This window comes from Homo sapiens, chromosome 1 (assembly GCF_000001405.40).
Source record: "Homo sapiens chromosome 1, GRCh38.p14 Primary Assembly".
In the NCBI taxonomy this organism is placed as follows: Eukaryota; Metazoa; Chordata; class Mammalia; order Primates; family Hominidae; genus Homo; species Homo sapiens.
In genome coordinates, this window is record NC_000001.11 from 207,164,181 (window position 1) to 207,184,895 (window position 20,715).

Sequence of the window (20,715 nt, forward strand, 5' to 3'; positions counted from 1 at the left end):
CGCATACAGAAGAATGAGACTAGATCCCTACCTCTCATTATATACAAAGTCAACTCAAAATGGATTACAGACTTAAATATAAAACCCCAAACTACAAAACTACTAGAAGAAAATATAGGGGAAGTGCCCCACATCATTGGCCTATTGACTTAAATGGACATGAGTTGGCAATTCATATAATTAAGGACAGATGGCTATATGAAACCATCTCAACTTACCTAAGGTTTCAGAACAAAAGGTGAAATCCTATATTTCACTGCAAGTTAATTTTATATATCACTTTGGGTCATACTTCTTAAGTAACTTGTTTCTGAAGTAAACTTAGGATATGTGAGGGTTTTTCTCATTCAGGGGGTAAGAATGACTTTATAGAGATCTTGCTTTGAAGAAGTCTCTGATTAATGAATGACTGGAACCAAGAAACATAACAGTAATACTACTTATTGTTTGCGGTTGTTGGTAAAAGCCATACTTAAAAAATTCTGAATGACCCAACGGATTTTTGCTTTTGTTGACAGTTGCCATAAGAAAATCATATAGATGGATGGATAGATATAGATAGATATATGATTCATAGAGACATCTCCAACTGTTTTCCTCTGTCTTGTCATTTTCTTGCTTTTCTTAAGCTTTCTCTTTCTCCTATAACTCTTCTGCCATTTCCTTGTTCAGATAATTTCCTTGGCTCACTTGGCCAATTGCTATAGTCTTCTTAATCAATCTCCCTGTCTCTTCTCTCTGCCTCTTTCAATCTACCTTGTATACATCTGCCATAATAGTCTTTCAAAAACACAGTAATCATGTCATTTGAAAAAAGTGTATGTATATTCCCTAGTTTCAAGCTCCCAATCTTGGTATTGAAAACCTGATCAAACCCAGTTCTAACCTGCCTCTCTATCTTTAACTATCATCTCCTATCAGGAATTCCGTATCTTCTAATCAATCTGAAGTACTAATTACTATTTTCAAGAAATAACCTTTACCTTCTCACTGCTGTGCCTTTACTTAATTTTTACTATTGCCATAAAATATTCCACATTTAACACTCCAAATTTCACAGCAATATCTACTACCTCTGTACAGTTCACCCCAGATCTCTGGAATTTACTGGTCTCCTGAATATGCTCCTGTTACAGAAAATACAAGCTATCTTTTATTACAAAAAGTTAATGCCTTTTCTTCTACATTTGATTATAATCTCCTTGAAAACAGTTCCCATTTTATTCTTCATAGTACTTTATGACAGGTAAGAATTCAATGACTGTTTATTAAGTTGAGTTCTTTCAGCAGAAAAACACTGAAGAGGCATCAGATCATGCACTCCCAGAGACCTCCACTTGCACTCCTTGAGGGCTCCACCCTCGATAGAAAAGGAGAAATCGCAGCTTCACTCGTCTCTAGGCTGTGGAAAGTCTCCAATTCAACTCTGTTCCAAATGATGCTGGTCACTGTTTTGTTGGCTACCATTCTTGGTAAGTAGTGGGGAGACAGGCCAGATGACCAGCATGCAACTGAGTTCATCACACACCCTATTTTAAGAGGTGTCTAAGAGATCTTTAACATTATGGAATATATTTGACCACCTGGAATTTGGGAAACATGCTATAAACTAAAAAAAGAAAATCTTGTTTTATAGACCGTCCTGATGCTCCCTTTTAGAATTTTTCTCTCCAGGAAACTCTGAACAACTTAACATTGAAACAATCATGACTTGTAATAAATGCGTATTATCTGCCAGCCTGGCCATGAACTCTCACTGCCTGTGTGGTTATTTAGAATGTAGAAGGGGTTGGTATAATTCTTCTGGGGCATTTGGAAGGTCACTCAGTACTTTGTTTAATTCTTGCCAGGGAAGTAGAATTAAGATTTTATTTTTCAAGGGTTTAATGATTCTCCACCTTGTAATGCTTTTGAAAAATATTTTATTTTTTAACAGGCCATTTATTCTAAATCTAAAAGTTCCAAAAGGACATAAATGAAATGCCTCCTCATCCTTGACTGAGGCAACTAATCTTGCATAATGCTATTTTTAGTAGAAAATATGTTTCTGCTAAGGCAGGAGGTAGAGTCATATGGCATGGCATAGCCACCTATATTCTGAGCAGACAGATGTGGGCAATCTGATAGAATGATGAAAATTAAGTCTATTCATTCACTTTCTAATAAATTAGCACTTATACAGTCAAAGATGGACAAACTTTTCCTGCCTTTACTCATTATTGTTGTCATTATCATTACTCAACAAATGTGTATTATTGATCACTTACTGCGCTCATTGAACAATGACACAATAGGAGTTATGATAAAAGAGAAAATCATGGTCTCTGCTCTAGAAAACTTAGTACTCGGACATCGAGACATTGTGTCCCAAGATATAACTGTTGATGTTCCTTGCCATTTTTTTGTGTGTGCAGGTGACTGTGGTCCTCCACCTGAGTTACCATTTGCTTTTCCAATAAATCCGTTGTATGATACTGAATTCAAAACTGGAACTACTCTGAAGTACACCTGCCACCCTGGGCATGGTAAAATCAATTCAAGTCGACTGATTTGTGATGCCAAAGACTCGTGGAACTATAGTATCTTTTGTGCAAGTAAGTATCAACATTTATTTTTCTCACCTTTACTTTTTTTCCCAGAAAGTTCTTTTAGGAACTTAATGAATTACTTAATTCATATGAAAATCTTCTATCAAAACAGTTCAAAATTAACATCATCTATAGTATTTAGAAGAAATCAGTTGGGAATACACTTGGACATATTTTTTGAACAGTTAGAATATAGCATCTGCTTCCCTTTTCCTTCTGTTTCCCTGTGACGAAGGTCATATATTTTCGAGAGCATACATTTTTATGGACAACTGGTCAATAAATACATCCAGTATTATCACAGTGGTCTAACTGAGCAAATGAAACTAAGTGAAGTTTTTTTTTCTCTTCTTAAAATGTGTCAGAAAAATGAGATATATGTCTATATATTTTTTTTCAAAGCAAAATATTAACGAGTCAGAATAAGAAATAAGCATTGAAAAATATCTCTAGGTCTATCTGGAAGCAGGAGTTAAAGTTAGTGAACCAGACTTTTTTTTCCCCTAATGTTCTATTTTGTGAGTAATTGGAATCATGAGTCATTATTTTAATTTTCCTCCTAGAGAAACGATGCAGAAATCCAGAATTAATCAATGGGATAGTGGAAGTTAAAAAAGATCTTCTCCTTGGTTCAACCATATAATTCAGCTGCTCAGAGGGGTGAGTATAAGGCAACCTAGAAGCAATAATTTCCTTTTCAATTAATTTTTATAAGGAGTTAATACATTTATATGTTTCAAAAACAAAAGTGGCATAAAAAGGTATACATCAATAATTCTTACTTCCACCCCATCCTCATTCATCCCATTTCTCTCTGCCCTCTGACAGAAAATGACATTGATTAGTTTCAGATTTATCCCTTTAGTGTTTACTTCTATAAATACAAGTGAGTACAAGTATTTTTGTCAATACTTTTCCCTCTTTATTATACAGAAGATACCTGACTGCATACATCGTTTCGAACCCTGCTTTTGTTTTTTTCACTTACAACATTGCTATGGACTGAATTTTTTTGGTATTCCCTCAAAATTCATATCTGAATCCCCAGTGTGATGGTATTTGGAGATGGGGCCTTTGGGAGGTCATTAGGTCATGGGAGCGGAGTCCTCATGTGGGGATTAGTGTCCTTATAAAAAGACGTGAGAGAGCTTTCTCTCTCTCTCTCTCTCTCTCTCTCTCTCTCTCTCTGTCTGTCTTTCTCTCTCTGTCTCTGCCATGTGAGGACACAGCAGGAAGGCAAACCATCTGCAAACCAGGAAGTAGGCCCTCACCAGAACCTAACTATGTTGGTACCCTGATCTCAGACTTCCTAGCTTCCAGTACTGTGAGAAATAAATTTCTGTTGTTTAAGCCATCCAGTCTATGGTATTTTGTTATAGCAACCAGAAATAACTAAGACAAATATGTACTAGAGATCTTTGACATTCATGCACCAAGTGTGCCCTCATTCTCTCTCTCTGTCTGTGTGTATATGTATGTTTACAGCTGTATAGTTTTCTAACGCATGTATCGTAGCTTATCATCGTTTATTTAATGATTCCTACTGATGGATTTTTGTGTGTTTCCAATCTTTTCCTGTTACATACAATGTCCTGATGCATACTTTTTATATATGTTATGTTATATATATTAATATAGAGAGATGTTTGTAGGACGAATTCCCAGAAGTGGGATTGTTGGATCAGAGAGAAGATGCTTTGAAATTTTGCTAAATATTGCCAAATTGCTCTTTATAAACTGTAAAATTTTGTAATGTAAACAAACGCCTGTGTCTTTACCTCTGTGATTTACTATTTTTGAATTTTTTGCCTATTAAAAAGAGAAAATAAAATCTCTGTATAGTATTTTTTAAGTTTTTAATTTTTTTCAGACCTCTCAGGGGTGAAAAACTTTTTATTTTGAGGTAAGTATAGGTTCACATGCAAATATTAAAAAAATACAGAAAGAATCCATATCTTTCTCTAGATGGCCTTCGCATTGTCTTGGCATCATTTATTAATAAGTCTACATCTAATCCATGTGAGAGAACATCTTTTAAAAATACGTATTTAATACTTCAGCGTATATTAGTCTTTTTTAGATGTTCTATTCAATGCTTTTAGTCTTTCTGTATATTCACACAACCAGCTCCTTTCTCTTGAATTTTTAGTGTGCAACATCACTTAGAGGTATCCGCCTGACTGTTCTGTTTTTATAGAGTTTTCCTATGTTTGCTTGTTTGTATTTCTATATGAACTTTTAAATTGGTTGATTTTTACTTTTAATCAATTGTATTAAGCTTTTAAATGAACTTTAAGAGAATAGACATTTTATGATATTGCATCTTGCCAGCCAAGACTTTCCATTTGTCCTAGTTGTCTATGTGTGTGTGGCTGTGTGTGTGTGTTTCAGGACTGTTTTAAAGCTTTCCCCATTTACATTTTTCAATTCTTATGTTTGGTCTCTGCTATCTTATTTTATTTTTGTCTTATTTTTGAGATTGCAAATGGTGTCTTTTCTTCCATTATATCTCCTAACAATTTTTATTCATATATATGGAAACTACTTATTTCTATATATTAATATCATATCTCAGCTAATGCCTTGAATTTCCTTATTACTTATAATAGTCTATCAGTTGGTGATATGGCTTGGCTTTGTCCCCACCCAAATCTCATTTTGAATTGTAGCTCCCGTAATTCCCACGTGTGGTGGAAGGGACCCCATGGGAGATAATTGAATCATGGTGGGGGGCGGTTTCCCCCTTATTGTTCTCATGGTGATGATTAAGTCTCACGAAATCTGATGATTTTATAAGGGGTTTCCCCTTTCACTTAGCACTCATTCTTTCTTGCCTGCTGCCATGTAAGACATGCCTTTTCCCTTCCGCCAAGATTTTGAGGCTTCCTCTGCCACGTGGAACTGTCAGTCCATTAAACCTCTTTTTCTGTATAAACTACCCAGGCTCAGGTATGTCTTTATCAGCAGTGTGAAAACGGACTAATACAGTCGGATTTTCTTGGGATTTCCAGATATGTAATTATGTCATCTGAAAATAATGATTCTGTTATTTTCTCTTTTCCAATTTTTGTATTTCTAATTCCTTTTTCTTATGTACTTATGCTAGCAATTATCTCAAATAAAAAATTGATACCAGTTATTTTTCTCTTATACTTGACTCTAGCAGAAATGACTAGCATTTTCTTCCTAAATTTAGTGGAGCTGTATCTGCACTGATTCCTGTTATATTGAACATTTTTGGCCAAAACTAATTGTTGATTATTTTTCAAATGCCATTTTAGTGACTATCAAGATGATGGTTTATTTTTCTTAATAGATTTATTAATATCATGTATATATTAGTCTGCTCAGGCTTTCATAAAAAAATACCAAAATCCCACGGGCTGGGACAGTTCTGGAGTCTAGAAGTCTCAGAACAAGGTCCCACAGGTTTTGGTTCCTGTTGAGGGCTCCCCACCTGGGTTGCAGATGGCTGGTTGTCTTCTCACTGTGTCCACACATGATCTTTCCCTGGTGTCAGCATGAGGGTGCAGGGACTGCAAGTGGGAGATCTTTGTGGTGTTTTTTCTTATAAGGACCCTAATCTTACTGGATCAGGGCTCCACCCTTCTGAACATTAATTACTTACTTATGCAAATATAGCTACACTAGGGGGTTAGGGCTTCCACATATAAATTTTGAGGAGATAGATACATTCAGTCCATAACAAGTTATTCTATATTAATATATTTCCTAATTTTGAAGGATCCTTTTATTCTTTAAATAAAACTATACTATTTGGTCATTGTATAATTTTCTTTTTAAAGTGTTCCTGGACTCTGTTTGATAATATTTTATTCAGGAACTTATTATTGATATTCAGAGTAAATTTTTTTTTTAAAGGCAAAAGGTCCTAGAATAAAGACTGGGACTTGTCAAGAGCAAGAACAATGAGATGATAATCAGGAAGTTAGGAACTTATGAGTTCCTAAGGAACTCTCAGGTTTATGAGAGTAAGCTAAGCTCTAGAAGCCAGAAAAAAGATTCAAATTAGAGGTCAGAGTACTAGTACACATCAGTAATGTGTCTTGCTCGTTTATTTAAAGGAAACTACATAACAAACTCAAGTGAACCACTTACTTGTTTTGAACTGCTTGATTTATAGCTTGTTAGGGAAAGAGTGTAAGATTTAAGACAAGTCCTCAGATTTTAGGTGTAAAACTTGTTGTGTTCTCTTTTTATTCATTTCGGATGGGTACCATGTGATACAAAGAAAAAGCTTAAGTTGCTTAGACAAGCTAGAGCATTTTAAAATTGAACAAATAAACCCTTCGCTTGATATGAGAAAATGTAACTGCAAGTTGGCCTAAATGGTAATTAGTAATCAAGACAGCATTATTTTTTCATTTTAAAATATTTAATAAAAATTTGTTTCTTTTTTTCTTTAACAGGAGAAAATTACAGTGTTTATTCATGCAACATACATGTGGGAGAGCTTGGTGATGAGTAACTCAAAGGGAGTGATTAGAATTTGGGGCTTATATACCATTTTAGTAGGTGAAGGGAGAAAGGCACTTATGGGAAACAAATGACTTTCTAGAAAGATAAATACATTTTCAGGAGAACAAACAGGAGATAAGAAAGTTAGTAAAAATATATATTTTTTGAATGTTTACTTTAGGTTCAGGGGTACATGTGCAGGTTTGTTATATAGGTAAACTCATGTCATGGGGATTTGGTATGCAGATTATTACATCACACATGTACTAAGCATAGTACTCAATATTTATTTTTTCTGATTTGTCCAAAACCTCATAGACAATTTATGTCTAGAGTAAATGAATTCCACTAAAATGTTTGACCTATCTTATTTAGATTTTTCTTAATTGGCTCAACCACCAGTCATTGTCAGATCCAAGGTAAAGGAGTTGATTGGAGTGATCCTCTCCCAGAACGTGTAAGTAAGTAAAACTTTTTTTTCTGACCTGACTACAAACCTAAACTACTTTAGGTAATAACACTGCTGTGAAATCTCACTGCTTCTTTTACCCTCCGTTAGAATTTGCATGAATTTTCGATTTAACCCAATGCCTACCCTGAGTGTTTCTTTCTCTTCACTCACTCACCTCAGTTGCCAAGTGCGAGCCCCCTCCAGACATCAGGAATGGGAAGCACAGCGGTGGAGATCAAGAATTCTACACATATGCCTCCTCTGTCACCTACAGCTGCAACCCCTACTTCTCACTCATAGGCAACGTCTCCATCTCCTGCACCGTGGAGAATGAAACAATAGGTGTCTGGAGCCCAAACCCTCCTATCTGTGAAAGTAAGTCAGAATGATTAGTTCTGCTTTGATCTCTTTTATTTGTTTAAAAACAAAAGGAAGGCATATTTATTAGGGAAGATGGAATGATTCAAAGAGAAACTAATCACTGCAATGATGGAGTCATTCATTTGTTCAACTAATCTTGTTACATGCTGTATCAGTCAGAATAGCATAGGCTGTGCTGCAGTAGTAATCAACACCTAAATCTCAAGGCCTTTATACAGTAAAAGTTTTTTTCAAGTTTCTTCTTAGTGCACTGCTAGCCTGGGAAACTCCCTAGGGCAGCTGTCACTTATATGGTAATCCAGATTGTTTAGATCTTTGACACCTCCATGTCAAAACTTCCACAATTAGTTCAGCGGGAGAAGAGAACAAGGAAAGTCAGTCTCTGGCTCTTCAGTTCTTTGACCTGGAAGTGACATATATCACTTGCCATTACAGCCTTTTGACCAGAACTAGTTCCTTATTTCTGCCTAATACAGAATAACCGGGAAACACTGTCTTTTGTTTACCTTACAATAACTGGAAGTATGGGTGGACACTAACAATGTCAACCATGCATGCCTAAGGAGCAAACAAAACACCAACACCAGCAGGTAATAAAGGTAATAAAACACAATGAAAGAAAGTATTTTCCCTTGGCCTCTCTATGGAAGCCAGAAGAGATGTTACGTCAATATCAGTAATGATTCAGCTTGCTGGTTTAGGACATTATTCTTTACTGCAAATAAAGTGCCTAAAAACCATAGTATCACATATTGTTTTGACTCAGTACAGGACACAGCCAATGCCGGGGTGAGAGAGAGCATAACAGTGAAAAGACTGCAAGAAGTGGAAAAGGCAGGAGCTGAGGCTGGATAAGTTAGTAGGGGCCAGGTTACGAAAGCTTTGTGTGTCACTTTCAGGAGTTTGGAATGAAGGAAAAGGGAAGACATTAAAAGGACAATGTGAAGTGAAACAAAACATAACTAATAGGCACCTGTTGCAACCTTTCAGCCAGGAAGTGAAAGTGGCTTCAACTGTAGCCACAGCAGTGAGCCTGGAGGAAAGTTGAGGAAGTATAGAGGAATTAAGATGGCAGGATTGACAGGACATGATGACTAACATGATGTGGGGTGAAGGCGGCTTGTTCTCTGCTTATGGAGGCGCAGCACAGATTTCCCGATACCCTGGCTGCCTCTGCATGACACCATATCATTACCATGGGTCACTGACCCCCAACCAAAATCATCCAGGAAATTAGGCCATTTAATGGAAGGATTTGGAGACATTGAGATTTGGACTTCAGGGTTTAGATATTGCCCATTCTTATTGATGAGAAAGTTGGAGGACTTTACATGACTAACATGATGGGACCTCATTTTGCTGAGGTTTCTGGCAACTGAAAGGAAGTATACAAATCTCCAAAATGTTTTCTTTGTTCAGCGCCTATTAAATATATATTTGTATCAGGCCCTCCTTGAAGCCATGCCAACAGTTACAGTCACATCTTTACTGCCATTTCTCTCTGATAACTCAGATGTCTTTTTGTATGCTTCTTTAGAAATTGTCTGTCGTCGACCACAGATTCCAAAGGCAATCTTTGTTTCTGGATTTGGACCCCTCTATACTTACAAAGACTCTATTATGGTTAACTGTGAGGAAGGTTATATCCTCAGAGGCAGCAGTTTAATCTATTGTGAAACGAATAATGAGTGGTATCCTTCTGTTCCCTCTTGCATATCCAGTGAGTATGGACTACGATGGAGTTCCAATATTTGGATCTAAAACTATCCTGACATATAGGTGTGGCATGCTCACAGGCACAAGCCAACTCTACTCCCAATAATCATTTTAAGATAAATTGGTACTTTTCTTGTCAAAAGGAAGATTTTTTTGTTAATAATCTCTTAGCGCTATTGGAAGAATTCCAAATATATAGTCATGAGACCAATGACTTCATAGATATTGTAGACTTATATATTTGCTATAAAAATTTTCCAGGAGACAATAGTAAAGTGTTTCAGTCTAACAAAATCAATGTATTACGAGAATTTTTTGAACAATGGAAGTAAGATTCCTTTAAGACAGTTCTTTTTTATAATTTGCATAGAAATGCTCTATGGGCCAATATTGGTCTTGAGACCTTCATGTTGTAAATACATACAGATCATTTATAACATTAATGATTTATTGCTAGCATTTATTGAGCATTTTCTATGTTATAAACACTGTTCTAAGTGCTTTACATCAATTAACTCATTCAATATTTACAACTATTCCAAGAAGTTGCTATTTTTTATCCAATTTTAATGGTGAGAAAACCGAAAAAGAAAGATTAAGTAACTGGCACAAGCTCACATAGTTAATTGGAGGTGGAAGCCACCACTACATTGTGGTTTATCTAGTCTCTTCTGCTATCACATAAACTTAGGTGCCATTCAAAATGTGTAGTAATGAAATTCAATAAATACACAATTTGACAGACACATATCCTCTCTTTGATTCACACTGACCTTTAGCATATTGTTGAATAGAAAAAAAAAATACAAGATGAAAGGCCCAGCTGCAAAAGTTATATGGGGCTTGGTTTGAGGCCAAAGCATGAAGTTGCAGATGATAGTGTCATGATGTCAAGAAGAATGCCTCTTATTTTAATTCCCCATTAGGCAATGAGATTAGAAAGTCATTCTCATCTTGGAGCAAATTTTTGCTGTGTCTTTCTAGTGATCCTAATTCTTCCCCTGAAGACCAACCATTCTAAAGTGCAGTGATGTGAAAGGAAAACTAAGCTCCTACGGAGTTGACCCAGCACCTAGAAACTGTCCCCTTCCTACACCATGGCATGCTTCTCAGTACAGCCTCTCCAGTGGCACATGCATTTAGTAGACACATGCACTTAATAGACACTAGTCTATTGGGCAGTGGTGCTGCCGAGTCTTTTTCTGGAATTCCCATTTAATCTTTACCATCTCATTTTTTGCTGAATGACTATGTTATATCCCTTTTTTGTGACAGGCTCACGAGTCACTCTGCCATTCCCAGTAACACATTTCTTTCACCCTTGTGCTTTCTTTATGAGTGAATGGTTGCACTGTCCTACCGGACATTTCCTATGCTTCCTGGGAGAGAAATGACTACAACCTAAGTGATCACGAAATATTTGAAATTGGAACTGAGTTGAAATATCTATGCAAACCTGGCTATAGACCTGTTTTAGATGAGCCTCTGACTGTGACTTGTCAGGAAAATTTGACATGGACATCTTCCAATGAGTGTGAGAGTAAGAAGACTTGAACTTTGTTTTGTGTATATATGTGTGTGTATCTTCTTTGATATTGAAAATGTTGAGCACAATCCTTGAAATTTGCTGAGACTTGCTTCACTTCATAGCATATAGTTAATTTTTATAAATGTTCTGTGTGCACTTGAAAAGATGCATATTTTGCAGTTGTTGGGTGCAATGTTACATATACATCAATTAGATCTAATTTTAATGGTTTTGTTCAAATCTATTTCCATATTTATATTTATTTCTTGTCTACTTGTTCTCTCGGTTACTAAAAAAGTTTTGTTTGTCTTTTATCTTTTCAGAGTTTTTGTTTGTTTGCTTGCTTGCTTGTTTTGAGACAGGGTCTTGCTCTGTCACCCAGGCTGGAATGCAGTGGCATGATCTCGGCTGGATGCAGCCTCAACTTCCCGGGCTCGAGCCATCCTCCTGACTCAGTAGCTGGGACTACAAGTATACACCACCACACCTGGCTCATTTTTGTATTCTTTGTAAAGATGGGGTTTTGTCATGTTGTCCAGACTGGTCTCAAACTCCTGGACTCAAGAAATTCACTCACCTCGGCCTCCCAAAGTGCTGGGATTACTGGTGTGAGCCACCACACGTGGCCATCTTTTTAGTTTTTTCAAATCATTTTTTGCTTTGTATATTTTGAGACTACATTGCTAGATGCATACAAATTTAGAATGATATATTTTCCTGATAAATTTCACTTTTTATCATTATAAAATGACTCTATTACTATAACTGTTTTATCTTTAAAATTCTACTTTTACATTAATATAGTTCTGACATCTTTATCTGAGTTAGTGTTTACATGGTTTATCCTCTTTTAGTCTTTTGTTTTTGTACTTTCTGTAATTGTATATTTTAAGTGTATCTTGGAAGCAGGATAGAGTTGGATATTTTAATCCTACTTGACAATTTTCATTATTTAATTAGAGCACTTGTCAGTGTACAGTTAGTGTAATAATTAATATAATTGAATTTATATCTACCATCTATTTGCTATATACGTTTTTTGTTTTACATTCTTTTTTTTCCCTCCTTTTGAATTGATTTTAAATTTTTTTCCATTTTTTTTACCTGGTATTTACTTGGTATTTATTTACTTTTAGCTCTTTTTATGATGTTTATACATAATTTACTACTTTTGCCTCTTCCCAGGCAATGAAAAGCCTTAGAAACCTTTAACTTGATTTATCCTGCCTGACTTATATGATTTTATTTTTCAATTCTAAATGTGTCTTAAACTCTGCATTATTATTATCATTATTACTATTGCATTATTATCTTAGTAAATCCAATTAGTTTAGATTTGTTCACATAATTACTATTTTATTCTCTTCTGATTCTTCAGTCATATCTGTTATCCCTTTCTTTTGCTTCATAAATACTCTCTAGTTTCTTTTAGTGAGAACCTGTTGATGATAAATTTCTCTCTTTGTTTTTCTCAATGTGCCTTTATTTCACCTTAATATTTGAAGATATATTTGCTGGATATAAACTTCTAGATTGGCAATTGTTTTCCGTGGTCATGTGAAAGATTTCATTCCACGGTCTTCTGCCTTTAATTGTTTCTGTCAAGAATTTTGCTATTAGTCATACTGTTGATCATGTGAAGGTTTTCTATTTTTTCTGATTGCTTTTAAGATGTTCTTGCCTTTTTTTTGTGGCAGTTTTTGTCTGATATGTCTGGGTTGGTTTCTTTGTGTTTACCCTTTTTGAGATTTAGGATATTTCTATAATATGAGGTTTGATGCCTTTCACTGATTTTGGAAAAATTTTCAACTTCAAATACTTCAATATTATAAATAAGTATTTTCTTTGAGTACAATTTCAGCCCTATTTTCACTCTTCTACTGATACTTTGGCTACATTTATGTTAAGCTTTTATACTGAATCTTCTATATTTCCTGTGCTCTTACCTGTGTTTTTACTTTTTGTTTCTCAGTATTTTACTATGAATATAAATTAAGTTCACTAATTCTCTCTTCATTGATGTATTATCTGATATTAATTATGAGTTGAATTCTTAACTTTATTGTTTTTTCACTTTCAAGATTCCCATTTGTAGTGGATTTGTAGTATTGATATTGATTTTTCTACCAAAATTCTCAATGATGTATTTTATTTCCTTCTACATAACAAAGCAAAGTGGCTTTTAAGTCAATGTTTAGAACTTCATTTTCTGGATCCTCTCAGATCTGTTAGCATTGTCTCTTGCTTTCTTTGGCTTTTTAATAACCTTGTCTGGTCTCCTGTTTGCTTGTGGCAGGTAGTAAGGGGCATTAAGGGCTTTGAATGACCCAAATCCAATCAGGGAATGTAATGATACAAGCCTGGGCTTCAATACTTATTATAGATAGTTGGTCTATTTTTGGTTTATTCTTACTTCAAGGTATAGTTCTAAAGATTCCCAAGAGCTGTGGGTTACCAGCAATCAATCCCCACTACCACACACACATTGAGTTCTGATCAGCTTCTTAGCCACTAAGTTGTATCTTGGGGGAGGAGAATTATTGTATACTTCTAGATATATATAAAAAAGCAGCTCTACATTCCTGGTACACCTCATTGGGTATCTTTCTTTCTCATTAAAAGAACAACTAAGACAATTAAGGTCTTAGCACCTGAATTCTTTCTTCATGGATTAACTGCCCCCACTCCCCACCATGTTTTTCTACTTGTTATCAAAGAGAAGGTGAATCTAAATTGCTTAGCTCATTACTGCCAAAATCAACACTTTGTTTTAAGGACTTCTAATGAAGAAACACGGTTGGAGGGAAATTAAGTAATAGCACTTCAACCAAACAATGGCAGAATTTGGAGAAGATGCTTGGTCTAACTCTTCCCTCAACTTCTTTGTTTCTTTCTTTCTCTTTCTCTCTTTAAATTTTGGCAAAAGCACTTAACATGAGATCTACCCTTTCAATAAGTTTTTCAGTGTATAATATAGTACTGTTAATTATAGGCACTATTTGTACAGCAGATTTCTAGAACTTATTAATCTTGCACAACTGAAACTTTATACCTGTTGAACAACTGGGGAGTTGTTTCCCCTCCCTCCTCCAGCCTCTGGCACCCACCATTCTACTCTCTGCTTCTATGAGTTTGCCTTCAGATATTAACATCTTCTATAAGGTGGAATCAGGTCTTCAGCCAAAGGTGTGTCCCCCTGATTGATTTACTAAATGTGAACAACATTTAAAAATTTTTAAAAAAATTTTTGTGAGTACATAGTAGTTGTATATATTTATGGGGTACATGAGATATTTTGATACAGACATGTAATGTTGAACATTTTTTAATCCATCAGGGGTATGTTGCCCAACACCAGATCTGGAGAATATCAGAATCATAAATGAAAGGAGGTATTTCACTGGTAGATGTGTCTATGCCTATGGAGACTATATTTCATATATGTGTGATGAAGGCTATTACCCTATTTCTGTTGACGGGGAGAGTTCCTGCCACACAGATGGCACATGGAAGCCTAAAATGCCAGCATGTGAGCCAGGTAAGAATATTGAGAGAACCTGTCATAATCATTTCCTAGATTCCCCAAATGATTCCACTTGGTTCCACAAAAGATCGAAGTACTTAAAACTAACTGAATTTGAGGTTGTTCCTGCAAGAAGCATTGTGCAAAAAGGATCACAGATACACATCACTAGCACCATGCAAGGCAGCTATAGAACAAAATATGTTGGAAGACAAACTTACAGGAGAAATTTTCTTTTAAGAGAAAACAGTAGAATTGATGAAGTCTTTCAGTCTCATTTTGTCATTTTCCTGCATGTGTACTGATGTTTTAGTAAAGAGGGACACTACCTCACAATGCTCCATATTTATAAGTCAAGGGAGAAAACATGATTTACATATTGTGTAACAATGGAAGCTCCAGGTTGAAGAAGTGCTCTGTTAGGGAGAGTCTTGAAGCCTAGTGGCTGACGGTGTCAGCCTTTTCTTTCCTTGCTTTAACTCAGACCTACTGAACCACCTCTCTGTTGAAATACCACGAAGGAGAAGAAATAAGCATCTAAGGTGATAAACATCTGTCTCTTATCAGGATAAGACACTGAAAATGTTATTATTATGGAAGTATCTTCATTATGAAAGACTCTTCACATCAACACGATGGTGATTACTCGGTACTATAGTTTGGGTTTCTCTAAAAGCAAAGCTTGAGAAAATGACTTGGGAGCCAGTAGTTTATTTTGGAGGTGATTCTAGGAGGTAGGAGTCAGGGATGAGGGAGAGACAAGGGGAATCAGCAAAGGTGACTATTATGAGCAGCAGCGGCTCAATTCTTTGGGACCACAGAGAAGTGTAAGGAATGCCTTTCATAATTATCTGTCTGAAGGATGGGAGACTGGGACATTTATCCAATACTTTCTGTTGCTCATTGGTTTAGGGTTGCCCTAAAGGGCAGTAACCGCTTCAGTAATTTAGTCAGTAACTGAGCCTCAATTGCAACTGTGCTCTTTCAGCTGCAAAGGAGGCTCCAAAGTAAGACTGACAGATTCACATTGAATGCTTTCTGTAGAACATCATCAGTGTAAATCTGAGCTTGTGTAAAATTATATATTTCATCTGCGACTGTAGTCAGAAGTCCAAAGGGACATGGCATGGGTACAAAGCATTTGTTACAATATATCCTTTGCACCACTCGATTTGTTTATGTCCCATTAATTAAACTCTATTAATCTTAAGTAATCTACTGCTAACAAGTGTTATAAAAGGAAAGAACAGACATTGTTTATTGGAATAATCAAACAAAGCTTCATGGAGAAGTGGGACTTGAGATAACAATTAGAGAAGGTAAGCAGATGCTAATAAAGGGGAGTCCCAGGAGGAAATATTAATATATAGAAGTGGAAATGTACATGACAAGTTTAGGGAAGGAGGAGTTGACTAGTTTGGTTAAACAGAAATAGTGCTAGATGGGGCCCAGTGCGGTGGCTCATGCCTGTAATCCCGGCACTTTGGGAGACTGAGGTGAGCGGATCACCTGAGGTCACGATTCGAGACCAGCCTGGCCAATGTGGTGAAACCCCATCTCTACTAAAAATACAAAAATTAGCCGGGTGTGGTGGCGCATGCCTGTAATAGTAGCTACTTGGGAGGCTGAGGCACGAGAATTGCTTTAACTTGGGAGGCAGAGGTTGCAGTGAGCCAAGACCATGCCACTTCACTCCAGCCTGGGTGACAGAGTGAGACTCCATCTCAAAAGAAAAAAAAAGAAAAAAAAAATGGTGCTAGATGAATTTGAAGGATCTATGAAAAAGGCCAATAGAGGTATTTTTATTTTTTCATATGTCCATGGTTTGTTAAAGATGCTGATTATTTTATTTTTAGAAAATAGAGCATTTTAAAATCCCTGTCGCTTAGTTTTAATCTTCGGAGGCAATCATCCTTCAACACAGGACTTCCTTTGACATTCTCAGGGCTCTAAATTTGTTGCAATTTTTCATTCAAGAGTTCCTGAAACTTGAAAGTTCCCTTCTAGTATGACTACCCCAGCATTTCATATTACTTATGTCAACACTGAAATCATTGTTTAAATTGTAAGATATGGTAATTATGTTCTTATGGTATTGTAGTTATGGACAAGATTGTTTGGGGATCCTGCAGTTATTCAGGGCCTTTACAACTATTCCTTTACTTTGCCTTACTTCTATTGAGAATGATTTTCATTTAATATGACTCTCTATGGTTGAATTCATGCTTTCGTACCAAAGCTCATTTAATTTCCCTAAGCAGTGAAATATTTTAGTGATCATGTACACAAAAACCAAGAAAGGTCCTACAAAATGGAGAATTCTCTCAACCCAAGAGTTGCTTTCATTCACATCAAGCTTTTCTCTAGATTCTCAGCCTGAAAGCAGTAGAAATGTTGAGTTGCGTCAAGTTACCCTATGGAAAAAGGATTTGGATGGGAACATTTGAATCTCCTACAGATCATTCAGATTTGGGGAGATTAATCTGAAACTATGAGTTCATGCTCTTCTCTCTCTCTCATCATCCAAGTTTGCAGTTACCCTCCCAGTATTGCCCATGGACACTACAAGGAAGTTATTTTAATAACTCCTTATCCTGAGGCTACATATGAATGTGATGAAGGATATGTTTTGGCTGGATTTGCTACAATCTACTGCAAGTCTTTTCACTGGCAACTTGCACCTCCTCAATGTAAAGGTAACTCCAACTCAACTCATAATCCATAGAAGATAGAATTAGAAAACATTAATGGCAATGTTTCCTATTAATCAAAGGCAGCATAAATTTTGTCTTTATTTATTTATTCATACTATTTAAATTATGCCTGATATATTTTAAAAAGTAATTGACAGGTATATTGAAAATGAACTTTACTTCCTACTCCAGTCTTCCAAAAGCATAGCTTGCCCTATGTTCAGAGAGAACCACTACTACCAGGTTCTTATATGTCTTTCCAGAATATGTTGAGACAGTATCTTTTACCTGAGAATACCTTTGTGGCTCTAGTTTTCATGAGAATCCTAAGTTAATTTCAACTACTCAAGAAAGAGGAATCTCAAGTGTTAATTCCCAAATTCTGAAGTGTTGGAAATCTCCACAAAAACTTCATGATGGTCACCATTTCCCCATGATATTTACATTTCCACTTTTGATTACCTGATGGTGGTGCTGTTGGTAAACCTGCTGTAGAAACAAGATGAATCAAGTAAGGCTCTGTCTCTTGATTGTGCTTGGAGCTTTCATCATTCTGCTAATAATCACCACTGGCTCTGTTTAACCCAGGAAGATGATGAAGCAAGAACAATGGAAAGTACATATCAAGAATCCACAAATCAAGGCTGTGGGGTGCAGCAATTGAGAGCACCAATTCTTACCACTTATAAGCTATGTGATACTGAGGAAATATTTAACTTTTCAGTTTCCTTGCTGGTAAAATTGTGATAATAATAGTATCTAACTCATAGATTGGTAGCAAGGTTTAAATGAGATAAGTAAAAAATTTAGCACATAGATTGACATATAGTACTTGTTCAATAAATGCTAATTATTACTGTTATAATTATTATTAAAATAAAAGCATAGAACAACCTGCAGGACCAGAATATAATTGTGAATACAATTTTGTATCCTTTTTATTATCCAATGCTGTTATGATGACTTTTTTTGAGAAACAGTGTGATCAAAAATACATTTTCATTACAGCTCTGTGTCTGAAACCAGAAATAGTGAATGGAAGGCTGTCTGTGGATAAGGATCAGTATGTTGAGTCTGAAAATGTTACCATTGAATGTGATTCTGGCTATGGTGTGGTTGGTCTCAAAAGTATCACTTGCTCAGAGAAGAGAACCTGGTACCCAGAAGTGCCCAGGTGTGAGTGGGTAAGTGGCACAATTCAAGGAAGTTCTGTGCTACCAATCCCTAAAAATAGTGGCCTCTTCCAAGGTTCTGTTCCGGTTAGCAATGGGGAGATCTGACTTTTGTCAGGAAGCATAAGTAACTTACCACAATTAGCACTTCCAAACTTGCATGGTGATAAGCCAAGAGAGACACATTTTCCTGCTCTGTGTCTAGAGCCCAAATCTCTAGACTTGAGAGTCTATTGACCCAGATGTCCTGACCCCTAGCTCTACATTTTCTACAATAAATGTTGTGCATTTGTTCCATTTCTGGTTGGTCCTCAGAACCATCCCTCAGTTGTCCGTGTGGATGTGCTTTGCATCTCCTTTGGAGCCCAGCATCTTTTTAGCTTCAGACTGCTTGGTTGCTGCTCAAGGACAGATCTGGGCTTGGCTTGCATGTGAACACTTGCTAGGATGCACGGTCTCTCCTGATTTCCTATTTGTTCCTCAGGTCAATCTCCCTTTTGCCAGTAATGACTCTCAGAATGTACTCCCATCTTTATAGCAGCATGATTTATATTCCTTTGGGTATATACCCAGTAATGGGATGGCTGGGTCAAATGGTATTTCTAGTTCTAGATCCCTGAGGAATCATTCTTAGCAAACTATCACAAGGACATAAAACAAAACACTGCATGTTCTCACTCATAGGTGGGAATTGAACAATAACACTTGGACACAGGAAGGGGAACATCAAACACCGGGGCTTGTTGTGGGGTGGTGGGAGGGGGTAGGGATAGCATTAGGAGATATACCTAATGTAAATGACGAGTTAATGGGTGCAGCACACCAACATGGCACATGTATACATATGTAACAAACCTGCACATTGTGCACATGTACCCTAGAACTTAAAGTATTAAAAAAAAAAAAGAATGTACTCCCATCCCCTACTCATTTCTTTAAATCACTTTTAGGAGGCACCTGAAGGTTGTGAGCAAGTGCTCACAGGCAGAAAACTCATGCAGTGTCTCCCAAGCCCAGAGGATGTGAAAGTGGCCCTGGAGGTGTATAAGCTGTCTCTGGAGATAAAACAACTTGAAAAAGAGAGAGACAAATTGATGAACACCCATCAGAAATTTTCTGAAAAAGAGGAAATGAAGGACTTATTTTTCCCTTCAAATCAACATACAGAATCTTCACTCATCCACCCTACTCTTCCTTGAGCACCATCACTCTCATAAGGGTCTGGGCTAGGAGAACTTTCTTATTACTGCCAGAGAAAAATGTGTAATTATTGGTAATCTAGCCTTTTGTAGCTCAAATGTCCAGTTTCCTGGACTTGAAGTGCTGGTTAATTAAATAATTATTTACCAAATATCAGTTTGTATTGTCATCTTGGTCAATATGTTGCATAAATATGATACACTCCAGTACACAAATCCACTGCCTAAAGTTTCTGTAATTAACTTTGCCTCACCTTTTTCGTACCTCAGAAAGAATGGAAGCCAGGAAATTCAAACCATGTTCATACCATAATCTTTATCTGAATGCCTTTACTCTGAATCCCACATGTGCCTACCCTTAACCTACAGAAAAGGATACAAAACTCAAAGGATTTTCTGTAACATTACAGACAAAACCATTGTCTGTTTGATGGCCCCTGCCCATTAGTAACTCATCGCTTTACCCCTGCACAGAATTCCACTCTTCTCACTTTTAACAGCACTTTTAACAGATTGGGCTTGCATGCTGCTCAACTTTATAGAAATGGAATCATCCATTATGCACTCCTTCATATATGTTTTTTCCTTTAAATATTATATTTGTGAGATTCATCCATGTTATACATAGCTGAGGTTCATTTATTTTCATTTCTATTTAGTATTCCACCAGTGTATGCATATATCACAATTAACTTATCTATCCTATTGTTGATGAACATTTGGGTTAGTTTTAGTTTTTTGGCTATCATGAATAGTGCTGCTACAAATATTTTTGCAAATGCCTTTTGCTGAATATTGACATTTTTTTCTCCGCATATACCTGAGGATGGGATTGCTGGCTTATAAGGTGTGTGTATGTGTTTGTTCAGTTTTCCAAAGCTGTTATAGCAAAACACACTCCTGCAGAACATGGAACACTTGCTATTGTTAATTGTTCTTTTTTTTTTTTTTTTGAGAAATTCTGTTGGGTATCACATTGTGCTTT

The 20,715-nt window shown here is 36.3% G+C and overlaps 1 long non-coding RNA gene and 1 pseudogene across 6 annotated transcripts in view, besides 1 other annotated feature; one reads left to right on the plus strand and one right to left on the minus strand.

Moving 5' to 3' along the window:
* Positions 1 to 20,715, minus strand: part of LOC107985251 (uncharacterized) — a 195,120-nt gene that overhangs the window by 37,171 nt on the left and 137,234 nt on the right. Inside the window, exon 1 of one of the 6 annotated variants that reach the window (XR_007066841.1) lies at positions 7,694 to 7,782. The exons of the other annotated variants lie outside the window; for them this stretch is intronic. This is a non-coding gene — a long non-coding RNA (uncharacterized LOC107985251). Of the gene's footprint in view, positions 1 to 7,693; positions 7,783 to 20,715 lie in introns of those variants that run through there. 6 annotated transcript variants of the gene reach the window in all.
* On the plus strand, positions 1,315 to 19,881 carry C4BPAP1 (C4BPA pseudogene 1; annotated as a pseudogene).
* Positions 8,884 to 9,178: a silencer, noted in NCBI's record as "tiled region #9788; HepG2 Repressive non-DNase unmatched - State 24:Quies, and K562 Repressive non-DNase unmatched - State 3:PromF". NCBI's record gives its function as "represses a minimal TATA promoter and a strong SV40 promoter by Sharpr-MPRA in HepG2 and K562 cells {active_cell/tissue: HepG2 | K562}" and the evidence as "EXISTENCE:reporter gene assay evidence [ECO:0000049][PMID:27701403]".